This window comes from Homo sapiens, chromosome 6, assembly GCF_000001405.40.
Source record: "Homo sapiens chromosome 6, GRCh38.p14 Primary Assembly".
In the NCBI taxonomy this organism is placed as follows: Eukaryota; Metazoa; Chordata; class Mammalia; order Primates; family Hominidae; genus Homo; species Homo sapiens.
Genome location: NC_000006.12, coordinates 57,247,157 through 57,259,667, shown reverse-complemented (window position 1 = coordinate 57,259,667; position 12,511 = coordinate 57,247,157). Strand labels below are relative to the sequence as shown.

The window sequence follows — 12,511 nt, the reverse complement described above, 5'->3', positions numbered from 1 at the left end:
CACCTCAGCATCCACTACACCCCACAAAGGTGAAGTATATCTCAGTTGGGCACAGTGGTGCACATTTGTAGTCCCAGCAATGCAGGATGATCCCTTGAGCCCAGGCATTTGAGTACAACCTAATCAACAGGCATACCCTTATCTCTTAAAAAAAAATGAGGTATGTCTCTTTGCTCTTTGACATTAGTCTCAGCCTTGTAACTTGCCTTGACGAACAGGATGAGGCAGAAATTAGTGTGCCAGTTCCAAGCCTAGGCCTTAAGAGACCTTGCATATTTCCAATTTTCTTCTTACACATGTCCAGGGCAACCTACTGGTCCCAGGAGGAAGATGAGAGGCATATAGAGCAGAGCTACCCCAGCCACCTAGCCTAGCCCAGCTTAAATCAGCCAACCCCCAAGATGACTCAAAGATACTACTGGTTTTGTGTGATGCGGTTTGTTATGCATTGATAGCAAGTCAATACAATAGGCTTGGACTCAAGAGTCAGATCTGTTTCAGTGCCATGTACTTCTGGCTTGTGACCTTCAAGAATTTTTCCAACCTTTCTTCTAAACCTGAGATTTATCCTTGGTATAGAAATAATCATGTCTGTTTTATGATGTTGCTATAATATATCCATGTGTTTGCCATGGTACATGGGAACTTAGAAGCACTGAATTACTGTAAGTTATGGTCAATATTTGTATATTTTATTTCTAGGTGCAAAAATCCTATAACTAGAAGATATTGGTGGCAAAGGGAAATAGCAAAGGATAGGTCAGTCTCCATTGCTTTCCCGTCCTTGAGGCTGCTCCTATCCTGCTGTCTGCCCTCCAAGAGTCCAGGTTCTGGGAGCGGAGGAGATGGTAGAGTTGAGTCTAGCAATTCTAGGGTACATTGGAGTATCAGCCTTCTGAGTTCTAGGACTATTGAGCCAAAGATAATATCAGATGGAACAGGGAAAAAAGAACAGGGGATAGATGCCCTTAGTCTTACACTGGCCTTTTTCTGTGGGTTCTAGGCTCTTGGGCTTTCTTAACTTTGCATAAGATGGTGTCCTAACAGGTCAAGAATGGCCTGCAGTGGAGGGGTGGGTGGGTTGGGGTGGGGGCTGGGGGGCCCTCACTGTGCAACCACTTCAAACATTACTGTAGGTGGAGAATTTTCACTCACTGAAATTCTACTGCCAAGTTTTGGCAGGGTGGTTGGCTTTTGTTCTCTTCCTTTTAAAGCTGACAAGGAAAAACAAAGTGCAGAAATAGTGTTAACCAAATAAAGAGACACTATGCCTTTTTTTTTTAAACCTCATTTGCGTCAGAAAATCCATTCCCAGATGAGCCATAACTAGATGAGACTACACATATCCCACATCTTAGAAGAGAAAGTTTTATGGGCAGCCCTCATACTTTACGGGTTCAAGCCATGGTTCTAAAGGGAGTTGCGACTGAAAATCTTCACGTCTCTACCTCCAAAATCTTAACGGTAGCACGCCACTCCCGATTGTTAGGTTATTTCGTTTTAAACATGGGTGAAACTCACAGTCGAATGTCTTGTTTCTTCACTTCCCAAATTCCTAAAACAGCTACTCTTTGTTTTTAATGGTGCTGGAAAAAAAAGAGACAGAGAAGAGAAAAAGGAAAACAGTGCATTCCTGAAACATTACAAAAGACCAGCCGATGAGAACCAAGTGCAGCATACTGGAGAGAATCCTGGGGAAGGACTAAGGCAGGGCTGCTCAAACTTTTGCTCTGAGACAACTTAACAAAAGAGGAGGACAAAATAATAACCCTTGGGATATCTAGAAATATAAATGAAAATGAAAATAGCTAACATTAGGGAGAATTCACTATGAACGACCCACTGTTCCAACATTTAACATATACTGGTCACTTAATTCTCATGATAACTCTATGAGGCAGATGATATTATTCCCATTTTACAAATGAGAAATGGAGACACAAAAAGGCTAAGCAACTTGCCCCAGGGTACAGTTAGAAAAGGGAGGAGCTAGGTTTCAGTCTTGCCCCAAAGCCTATGGTTTCAACCACAGGTTACCATGAGTAGTTTACCACCAGTTCAAAATTCCATTAAAGTTGTGCCTTAAAAATGCCTACAGTCTGGGCGCGATGGCTCACGCCTGTAATCCCAGCACTTTGGGAGGCCGAGGCGGGCAGATCACCTGAGGTCGGGAGTTCAAGACCAGCCTGACCAACATGGAGAAATCCTGTCTCTACTAAAAATACAAAATTAGCCGGGCTTGGTGGTGGGTGCCTGTAATCCCAGCTATTCAGGAGCCTGAGGCAGGAGAATCGCTTGAATCCAGCAGGTGGAGGTTGCGGTGAGCCGAGATTGCGCCATTGCACTCCAGCCTGGGCAACAAGAGCAAGACTCCATCTCACAAAAAAAAAAAAAAAATGCCTACAGATATTTTATTCTGTTTCATAATATTTTCTTTTTTCTTTTAAGATAAAAAATACTTCTTTCAAAGATTTTCATCTACATTTTTCAGTGTCCTGCTTCAACTTTCTCTTCAAGTAAATCTTCAAGGAGAACTCTTGCTTCAAGAAGATACACCAGTTGTTTCTTGTGTGCCCAGATTGAGAAGCACTGGCCCAGGGTGGCTAGCTGCCCCAAGAAAAACAAAAATACCTATGTGATATCTGTCAGAATTAATTTGGCCAATTAACCAAATAGATAAGAAAGATTAGGGTTTTTTTCCCCAATGTCAAGGCAACTGAAACTAAAGGGTTGTGGCTAAAATGGAATTGAACAAAATAGGTTAATTGAGTAATTTAGCAGTAGGTAGGAGACTAGACTAGCACATCAGTTAGATAGATGAAGTTCACCATGGCTACACTCAAAATAAGCATAAGCCTTGAAAATAAGGCAGAGCATCTGATAAGCAGGATATTTTTACTTTGGACTAAGATGTAAGAGTGTATGTGTGTGTGTGTGTGTGTGTGTGTGTGTGAAAGTGAGAGAAAGAGAAAGGAAAAACTGTGTGTGTGTGCCTGCATGGCATGTGTGTGTGTGTGTGTGTGTGTGTGTGTGTGTAAGAGAAAGAGAAAGAGAGAAAGAAAACTTGGAGAAGGAGCAAAAGTCTACTTTTGTTAGAAAAGATAACGCAATCCAATGGAGGAAAAGCACAGAATTTAGAGCCAATTAAACCATAAGTTAGAATATTATATCTAATGATTTATAATAATGTGACTTACGTTATTTTATCAAGTCTAAGACACCATAAATGATAACATGCATACACATTCCAATGATTTAAAGTATTTTTAAATTTGATCTTATAATGGAAGAAATACAATAACTATTCCCAATTGCAAAATGAAGATAATACATAATATAGCCCTGTAGGGTGATGGTGAGGGGTAAATAAGGTGGCATATGCCTGACATATGGTAGGGCCTCAGGAAATGCAAGTATTATTGTTTCTATCACCTTTGGCCAAAAACAAGTTAATTGTCTTTTTCCCCCAAGTAATATTTTATTTTTGCTGTTTTGCTGCACAATTTTACATTACAAAAGGTGTGGGTACTTACCTCATCACAACTGTAATCAGTATGCTGATGGATAAAGCAAGACAGTATTTATCCTTCCAAGACTTTTCTATGCTTGTACATCTAATGTGTGTGTGTGTGTGTGTGTGTGTATGTGTGTGTGTGTGCGTGTCTAAATTGCTTTTAAAAATTTGTTTACTCAGCATTTAAGCCCCCTTAGGGCATTTCACACTGCACTGTGTAATAGATAAAGAATCACACTAGAGGAGACATAATTCATTAATTCTCTTTTGAAAAGCGCTTGGTGCTATCAGTGAAATGAATATAAATTATGCCATTCCTATACTTAAGGGCTTAAAAAAGTCTAGTAGTGTCTTATTCATATTTGTATCTGCCATAATAGCCTTGAAGTTTTTTTATGATCATTCTAACTAGATGTTCTCTTTCCTGCCTTTACAAGTTCACGAATTTCTGTATTATGCTTATGATTTAAATGGGACATTGCTGTATATTGTGGTTATTTGTGTTTACATTCTTATCAACTTTATCACTCCCTCCCCAACCAGTGTAAAAATGGAGAAGGCAGGTTGTGGCAATGACCTAACATTGATCATTGGAAATAGGATGGAAATATAGGGATGCAAGTAAATTGAGAGTAATTCTTTTTTTTTTTTTTTTTGAGATAGAGTCCTGCTCTGTTGCCCAGGCTGGAGTGCAGTGGCGGGATCTCAGCTCACTGCAAGCTCTGCCTCCCGGGTTCACGCCATTCTCCTGCATCAGCCTCCCGAGTAGCTGGGACTACAGGTGCCCGCCACCATGCCTGGCTAATTTTTTGTATTTTTAGTAGAGACAGGGTTTCACTGTGTTAGCCAGGATGGTCTTGATCTCCTGACCTCGTGATCCGCCCGCCTCGGCCTCCCAGAGTGCTGGGATTACAGGTGTGCACCACCACACCCGGCCCAATGGAGAGTAATTCTAATAATCAACTATGGATCCTCGGCAGTATGGAGAAGGCCTAGAAGCCAAGAAGAGATCAAAAGGTGAATTAAATAAAGGAATTGAGGTGACCAAACTGTTTCCGGACCAAGCTGAGGGTCAGGCTGCCTATTCTCGCAGCCCAATAATGAGAGGCAGACGAACTGGGAAAGAAGACAGTTTATTTCTGTAACTGGGTACAGGGAAAAGGCCTGGAAAATATCGCCAGGCCAACTCAAAGTTACAAAGTTTTCCAGAGCTTATATACCTTCTAAGCTATATGTCTGTGTGTTAGTGTGCATTCATCTGAAGACATAAGTGATTAACTTCTTCTAATCTATAACTAAGATCTGAATCCTGAAGACCTTCCTCTGGAGCCTCGGTAAATTTACTTAATCCTAATGGGTCCAGGTGCTGGGTGATTACCCTTATCTTGTCTCCTGCTAAATCATGGAGGTTTGGGGAGTTTCTTCAGACCCCCAATAAACTTGTTTGTGGAGGTCTGGGGAGTTTCTTCAGACCTCCAATAAAACTTGTTTAATCCTAAACAGGCCTCTGTTAAGAATTCATTTGTTATCTTGTCACACTTCAAGGCCCAGGAAAGGCCTGAGCAAAACTCCTGGTGGGCTTTTGTTACATTCCAGCCTTTGTATAAGGGCACTAGCTCGATCAGCTTTTAATATTTAACTTGGCCACTCCGTCAGTGCTGAAACAGTTGTTACAGAGGCCTGTGTTAGTGAGACCCGGCCTGCCACAAAACTGTCCTTGTGCTCAAAGAGTAGGTGAAGTTGTGGTGAGGAAGTGTGAGAATTGGAAATAGTGGAAGTTAGGGTTATAGAGAAGTTGGAGTAGCAAAGGAAACAGTGGACTTGTTGCCATAATATCTTCCAAAAGTGTATATATGTGGCGACTGGGCTGTTAGTTGGAGAGTGCATGGTATAGGTTATTGCCAAGGGTTGCAAAGGAAGTTGAGCATTTTAATCAGTAATGAGGTAGAACAATGATTCTCAAAGTGTAGTTGCCAGGCCAGCAGCATGAATGTCACCTAGGAACTTGTTAGAAATGAAATTCTAGGCTCTACCCCAAACCCACTGAATCAGAAATGAGGATGGAGCTCAGAAATCTGTGTTTTCAGAAGCCCTCCAAATGATGATGTTCACTAAAGTTGGACAATTCTTGGTTTAGAAGTTGTAGTGCAGACAGCTGAGCAACAGCTCACCACCTACCCATCATCATCACCACAACATCATGACAACAATGTCTTTGGTAACCTGTGAGACTGGGATTTCAATTAAAGCCAAAAACTAGAAGGAGCATTAAGGCTAAGAAGCAAAAGGCAACTTTTCCACTTTCCAACTTTCTCTGGAGGAATAGAGGAATCTGTTTACAATAGCACAAGGGTTTCAGAGGCAGCCCTGAATGTTGATTCTCCTCCTATCCTAAGCCTTTGTGTGGGCTCAGTCTTCCTTGATAGAAACTAGAGACCAGAGAATATAGGGAGAGTAGTTAGTTGCATTAATAATTATATCAATATTTCATAATAACCATGATTACACTATTGATAGTTATACATATATATAATTAGTAACTATTAATCCAGGTTCAATCATGAAAACCACCAAGAGAACGAGCTCCATGATCTCAGTGCTGAAGGGTGGGAGCAGCCCTCTGCACAACTACAGTACCAGGTAGAACAGATATAGCCACATGGACTAATGATTTTCCAGTTTATCCTTAGACTTAACCAAAATCAGGCCAGTAGCATATTAACAAGCCCACAGTCCCCAAGAAGCATTAAAGTTTCTGAATTTAGTATAAACTTTCTGATTTATAGACCATAGTTTATAGTCTTGCACTCATGATCTCCTCCTTGCTCTGATCCAAACCCTTCCAAAACTGCCTCTGAGATCATTCTCTAAATGGAGCTACCATTTAGAGATACCACAGATCACTTTAGCCCTAATTACACCGGTTTCTTTGCCCCTAACTACTGTTTATTTTTTTTTTTAACTTGCATGTTGTTTTTCTTAGGAAATTGAGGAGGGGATCCTGAAACTCAAACAACTGGGAATGCTGCCTACAGAGTTAATTTTAGTTGAACACTCTCCTTTCCCTGGCTAAACTTCAGCTTTGTTCTTGGCTCTCTGCACTCTTGAGTCACAGGAATGTAAACATGGGGAACCTCATCCTCTTTCTCTTGTCTGTTTCTTTCAATGTTGTCTTTATTCTAATATTTCTATTTCTAATAACTACTAAACCCAATACCTTTCTTTCCTTCCATAAACAGATCTGCTTTCTGATCAATACAACCCACAGTGGAAAAGGCAACAGGATGAGATGAGGCATCCATAATGAGAGGTTCAAGGATTGGAAAAGAACAGAGCTGCAGTGAGAATGCCAGTTTGGCCAATTTATTAACATGCATGTCAGTACAGAGTTGCAATTAAGAAGGCAAGAGCAAGGCCGGGCACAGTGGCTCATGCCTGTAATCCCAGCACTTTGGGAGGCCGAGGCAGGCAGCCCACCTGAGGTCAGGAGTTCGAGATCAGCCTGGCCAACATGGCAAAACCCCGTCTCCACTAAAAACACAAAAAATAGCCAGACATGGTGGCGTGTGCCTGTAATCCCAACTACTTTGGAGGCTGAGGCAGGAGAATCCCTTGAACCCGGGAGGCAGAGGTTGCGGTGAGCCAAGATTGCGCCACTGCACTCCAGCCTCGGCGACAAAGCGAGACTGCGTCTCAAAAAAAAAAGAAAAAGAAGGCAAGAGCTTGGAAACTCAAGAGACTAAAGTTCCAGAATTAGATTAGCTGTGTGATCTTGGAAATAATAATAGTAACTATCTCATAGGCTTGTTGTGGGATTAAATAATGCGTATAAAATTGCATAACAGAGTTCCCAGTACATAGCGAGCCTCAATACATGGTAACTTGGAGTCTGCATTTCTTGAGAGTAAATGACACATTCTGTAGACCAATTAAGGACAATGCTTATCACAGAATCAAGAGATAAATGAAGATTTCCTTCTGTAAACATGAAAGTATTCCTGAGGAAGGAGAGATTATTAAGTTTTTGAATACAATTAAGGAAGGAATACAGTCAGCATTATATTGTGATTAATTCAAAGGGCAAATAAGACATGGTCTTCATCTTCAATGGGGCAAGATATGGAGTTTGAAAAGCTGAAAATTAATGCTAGGCAACTGTACAAGCAAGGTTAAAGGTTGCTTGATTGATTGAATCAAGCCATGCAGGAATTCAGAACTTGAGAATAATTAATTAAGAGTGTAGTTAATTCACCCAACAGGTGAAATTGGAAGGAAGTTTACAGCTGAATTTTAGGAAAGTTGATAAGCTACTGTAATAACCTGGATGTTGCCCCTAAGAAAGCGGAAATATGCATTCTCATGAGAAAATAATAAAGCTTGTGGGAAATAAGAAGACTGGATGATTTTCTTCAAATATATAAAGATCTAATATATGAAGTAAAAATGTCTGCCTGAATAACACATCTTTTGATGGGATCTGCCCAGCTCATTTCCCCTTCTGTATAAATGGCCCCAACCCACAAGAATGACTACTGCACCCATGTTTGATGTACATAACTTACCCTTCCCCCATGTCAGTTAATAGAACCAAAGGAAATCATCTGATCCAAGCTAGGTAGTCAGATTTTGTCTTCTAGAAATTTGAGACTGATTCAACAGAAGAGTCAAAAACCTAGGGGATGACTGACCCACTAAATGGAAGAGACATGAGCCACCAAATGACTGCACAGGCAGAGAACATCCCTGCCAACCTGCATTAGACGGACACAGCAAGAAATGAACCTTTATTGTGGTAGGCCACTGAGATTTGGGAGTTGTTTGTAACTGCGGTTCACCTACCTCAACTAATACAGTAAGTTAGACTATATGTCTCCCCTAAATATCTCTTTGAACTTTAGATTTATTGATAAAAGTATGATTTTTTTAAAAATCTTGTCTATATGATCTGTAAATGGATCAAGGAGAGAAACGAAATGGAGGCAGATAACTCAGTTACAAATCTGACACAGAAATTTAGCTTCAATGTAATAGGAGCCTGAGTTTGGGGGTAGGAAAGAAACAGAAAAGAAGACATGGCTGGGAGGAAGATTATAAGAGAGAAATAAAAACAACTACAGGTTGAGTATCCTTCATTTGAAATGCTTGGGACAAGAAGTGTTTCAGATTTATGATTTTTTTCAGATTTTGGAATATTTGCGTTGTATCAGTTGAGAATCACAAATCTAAAAACCCAAAATTTGACATGCTGCAGTGAGCATTTCCTTTGGATGTCATATCAGTGCTCAAAAAGTTTTTAATTTTGGAGCATTTAGGATTTGGGGTTTTAAGATTTGGGATGCTCAACCTGTAATTTGATGTGATGAGTGAAAACGGGAAAGAGTCAAATACTACTTCATCTTTTACCACTTTTTGCTCGCCCACCAAGTTCCAGTTGCTTTCAGTATCTTGAACCCACTGAGCCATCTCCCACCTCAGGATATTTACTCATGCCCTTCCTTCTGTCTGCAATTATTTTACTCCTTGTTTTCATACGGCTAACTAACTGTTGCCTATTCTGAGGTCTCTGCACAAATGTCACTTTCAGAAAGTTGTCTTCCTTGACTCCTCAATCTAAATTACGTCATCATGTTTTTCATACCCCCCGATTTTTCTTTCACAGTATTTATTATAAATTACTGCTTAATTTGTAATCTTATATATCTATATCTATGTAGGCATTTGTTTATTTGAAGTCAATTTTTTCCCTTGGATTATAAGTATCATGAGGATAGTGGTCATGTTTCTTTTATTTTACTTTTTATACCCAATGCCCAGCACAGTACCTGACACTAGTAAATACCTAATACATATTTGCTGAGTAAGTGAATGAATAAACTCCCAGATTTCAAATCTGAAGCACTAGAAAAATGACACATATTGTCTGAATCAGTGTTCACATATTGAAGAAATAGCAATATTTGTAAAACCAAATAATTAAAGACTTAGGGAATGAAAAACCAGTCAAGGTATATCAATTGTCTGGTGCAGTGTCCAGGCACACAGGACTAGGTCAATAAACTAACAATTGTTCCATTCGTTCATCTCTCAGGATGTGTGCTCCAAACCACCAGATGAACAATCTAAGCCACAGTGGAACTTGCACTAACACAGGAAGATACACATTTAGATACTGGTCCTCCCAACAGCAGGAAGGCCAAGAACTAGTTCAGGCAGGGTGTAGTAATGCCATGGGTGTCAGGCTCATGACAGAGCCAACACCCCACCTTGCAGTCACAATATTCCATTTAAATTCTTCCCTCAGGTCTAGGTCCTTAAACTCAGTGTGCCATCTCCAGTCTCCATCCTATTTGTAGCTCCAAGCCTTTGACCAGCACGTTAGCATAGGTATTCTTTTTTTGTTTGTTTGTTTGTGAGACGCAGTTTCACTCTTGTTACCCAGGCTGGAGTGCAATGGCATGGTCTCAGCTCACTGCAACCTCCTCCTCTTGGGTTCAAGCGATTCTCCTGCCTCAGCCTCCTGAGTAGCTGGGATTACAGGCACGCACCACCACGCCAGGCTAATTTTTGTATTTTTAGTAGAGAAGGGGTTTCACCATGTTGGTCAGGCTGGCCTTGAACTCCTGACTTCAAGCGATCCACCTGCCTCAGCCTCCCAAAGTGCTGGGATTACAGGCATGAGCCACCACGCCCAACCTAACCTGGGTATTCTTTATGTCACATTAGATAACCTATAACCCCTCTTGGCAAACTTGGCCCTACTCAGACTGGACAGTTCTATGCTATTCTTACCCTCAATCTAAGCTAGTCTAAGCTTTGAAACAAGTAATCCTACTAGAAAAAGACTTCTTTCTTCCACAACTGACCTAATATGCATAATAAAGAAAAATTGCTCAGCAAATGTGAAGGGGAAAATATGCTTTTTGCAGAAGCAGGGAAGGAAAGGAAAAGCTAGTTTAGATTTTCACTCCTTAAGCATGTCACATCCTAGATGCAAATGTTTTTGGAGAATTATTTTAAAAATTTGTGGTGTCAGAGTCTAGCCTTTCAAATTTGCATGTTTTCATAATTGTCCTGTGATCATGGTTCAAAGCTAACTAAATCTGTTTCCCCAGTATATTAACGTGGTTTCCAAAGTGGAGCAATGAGGTCGCCAGCAGTTCTGCAGAGAACAATGTGCTAATAAGCAAATTGACTTGTGTGTTGTTCAATAAATTCTGTTATTTTGAAGTAATACATTAAGGATATTAAACGGAAATCACTAACTCACTGTAAGGTAGCTTTCAAACATTGCATTTTATCTCAAACTGCTATTGAGGCAGGAGAATAGGGTCTGGAGGCAGGGAGCCTAAGGCTCATTCATGCTGACTGGATATCAGAGGCTACTCCCTTTTCAGCCCCTCCTTTTTCCGAGGGGAAGTTGAAAAATGAAACTACCTCTGACTGGTCCCCTCCTGCAATGGATCAGACTGGTTGCAGGCCTACTCTTCATTCTGATTGGTCCCCTCCAACAACCAATCAGACTGGTAGTGGGCCACTACTTCATTTGCATAGAATAAACCAATGGGAAACCTCTAGAGGGTATTTAAACCCCAGAAAATTCTGTTACCTATGCTCTTAAGCCAGTTGCTCAATCCCACTCCCACCCTTTAGAGTGTACTTTGGTTTAAAATGAATCTCTGCTTTTGCTGCCTTGCTTTGTTTGTGCATTTTGTTCAATTATTTGTTCGAAACACCAAGAACCTGGACAACAACCCACCCTCAACCAATAACACTATTAAATGAAAGTTAAAGGAGTATGAGACTGAATCTAATATTGCTAGCTAAAGACAATTAGGTAAGTTAATAGGTGTGATTTATTGCTTTCTATGGATAGCAAAATGAACTTGAAGATCTCTTTGTAATTTAAATAAGTTGGCTCAATTTGAAACCGCTCCTACCATCTGTTTCCAGTGTTAACTTGCTGGGTGCCTGGGTACTCTTCTTCCTTGACCAACTCTCTGCCATTATAATTCAAAGTCACATGTAAATACACTTGGATACATTTGGTTACGCCACATGACTATGTAACATGTAATCCAAGATCTTATGTACACTCCTTAATTCCTCACGTGATCTCATTTTGATCATTAGTACCTGATCCAATTATTTTTTGGCTAAATTCAAAATTCTAAAGCAAACATTGAATTATATGCTATATTAACTAATATACTGTACTCAGTGTCTTGATTTTTTTTAGTCTCATTATTCTTTCTGGATTTCAGAATGAAACTCATGCTCACCCACTAGTCAGGGCTACAAATGTATCCAGAATGACAGTTTATTTTTAAAAGCCCAAATAGTAGGATTCCCTTCTAGGGGAAATCCTTTGAGTCATACAGAAATTAGTTGCCAAAGGTTTCTAGGCCATATCAAAAGGAAACCTCAAGATTCTTTAAATTATTACTTGAAAATTTTTAGTGTCCAAAATGACAACCTAAGATAGGATTTTGATAGTCCCATGAAACACCTCCTCACACAGAGCAACCACATAGAGAACATTTGCATCTCTTCTGCAGCAGCTATAAATGAGAATTTATACTATTACAGCAGTTTTTGCTATTTCTCATGGGTGCCTTTGACATTTACCTAGTGCTCAAAATACACCAAAAATAATTTTGCTCTGAATAAGCCTCAACTATAACTCTGTAATTTATTTCATAATACTTTTTAATCTTCCTTCAAAGCTTACTCATTGATGGATAATTATTAAGCACTTTACAAATTCCCAAAATTATGTGTGGTATAAAAACAGAGCCTTGAAATTTGACAAGCCCTAAAACTCATCACAATCTATCTAGGCCCGAGAAATGATGAATAATCATATACAACTCAGTCAATGTCACCCCTAGATGTTATGGCAATGAAGGAGGGCTAGCCTGAAAGGGATAAACCTAGTTGCCCAGCCACGTAGGAAAGACGATGGATACTCTAGGTGCAGGCAATCAAGAAATCAAGTCC

General features: G+C 40.1%; 1 protein-coding gene across 1 annotated transcript in view; it reads right to left on the bottom strand.

The window, feature by feature from the left end:
• Positions 1-12,511, bottom strand: part of PRIM2 (DNA primase subunit 2) — a 425,311-nt gene that overhangs the window by 387,183 nt on the left and 25,617 nt on the right. The gene's annotated exons all lie outside the window — the stretch shown is intronic.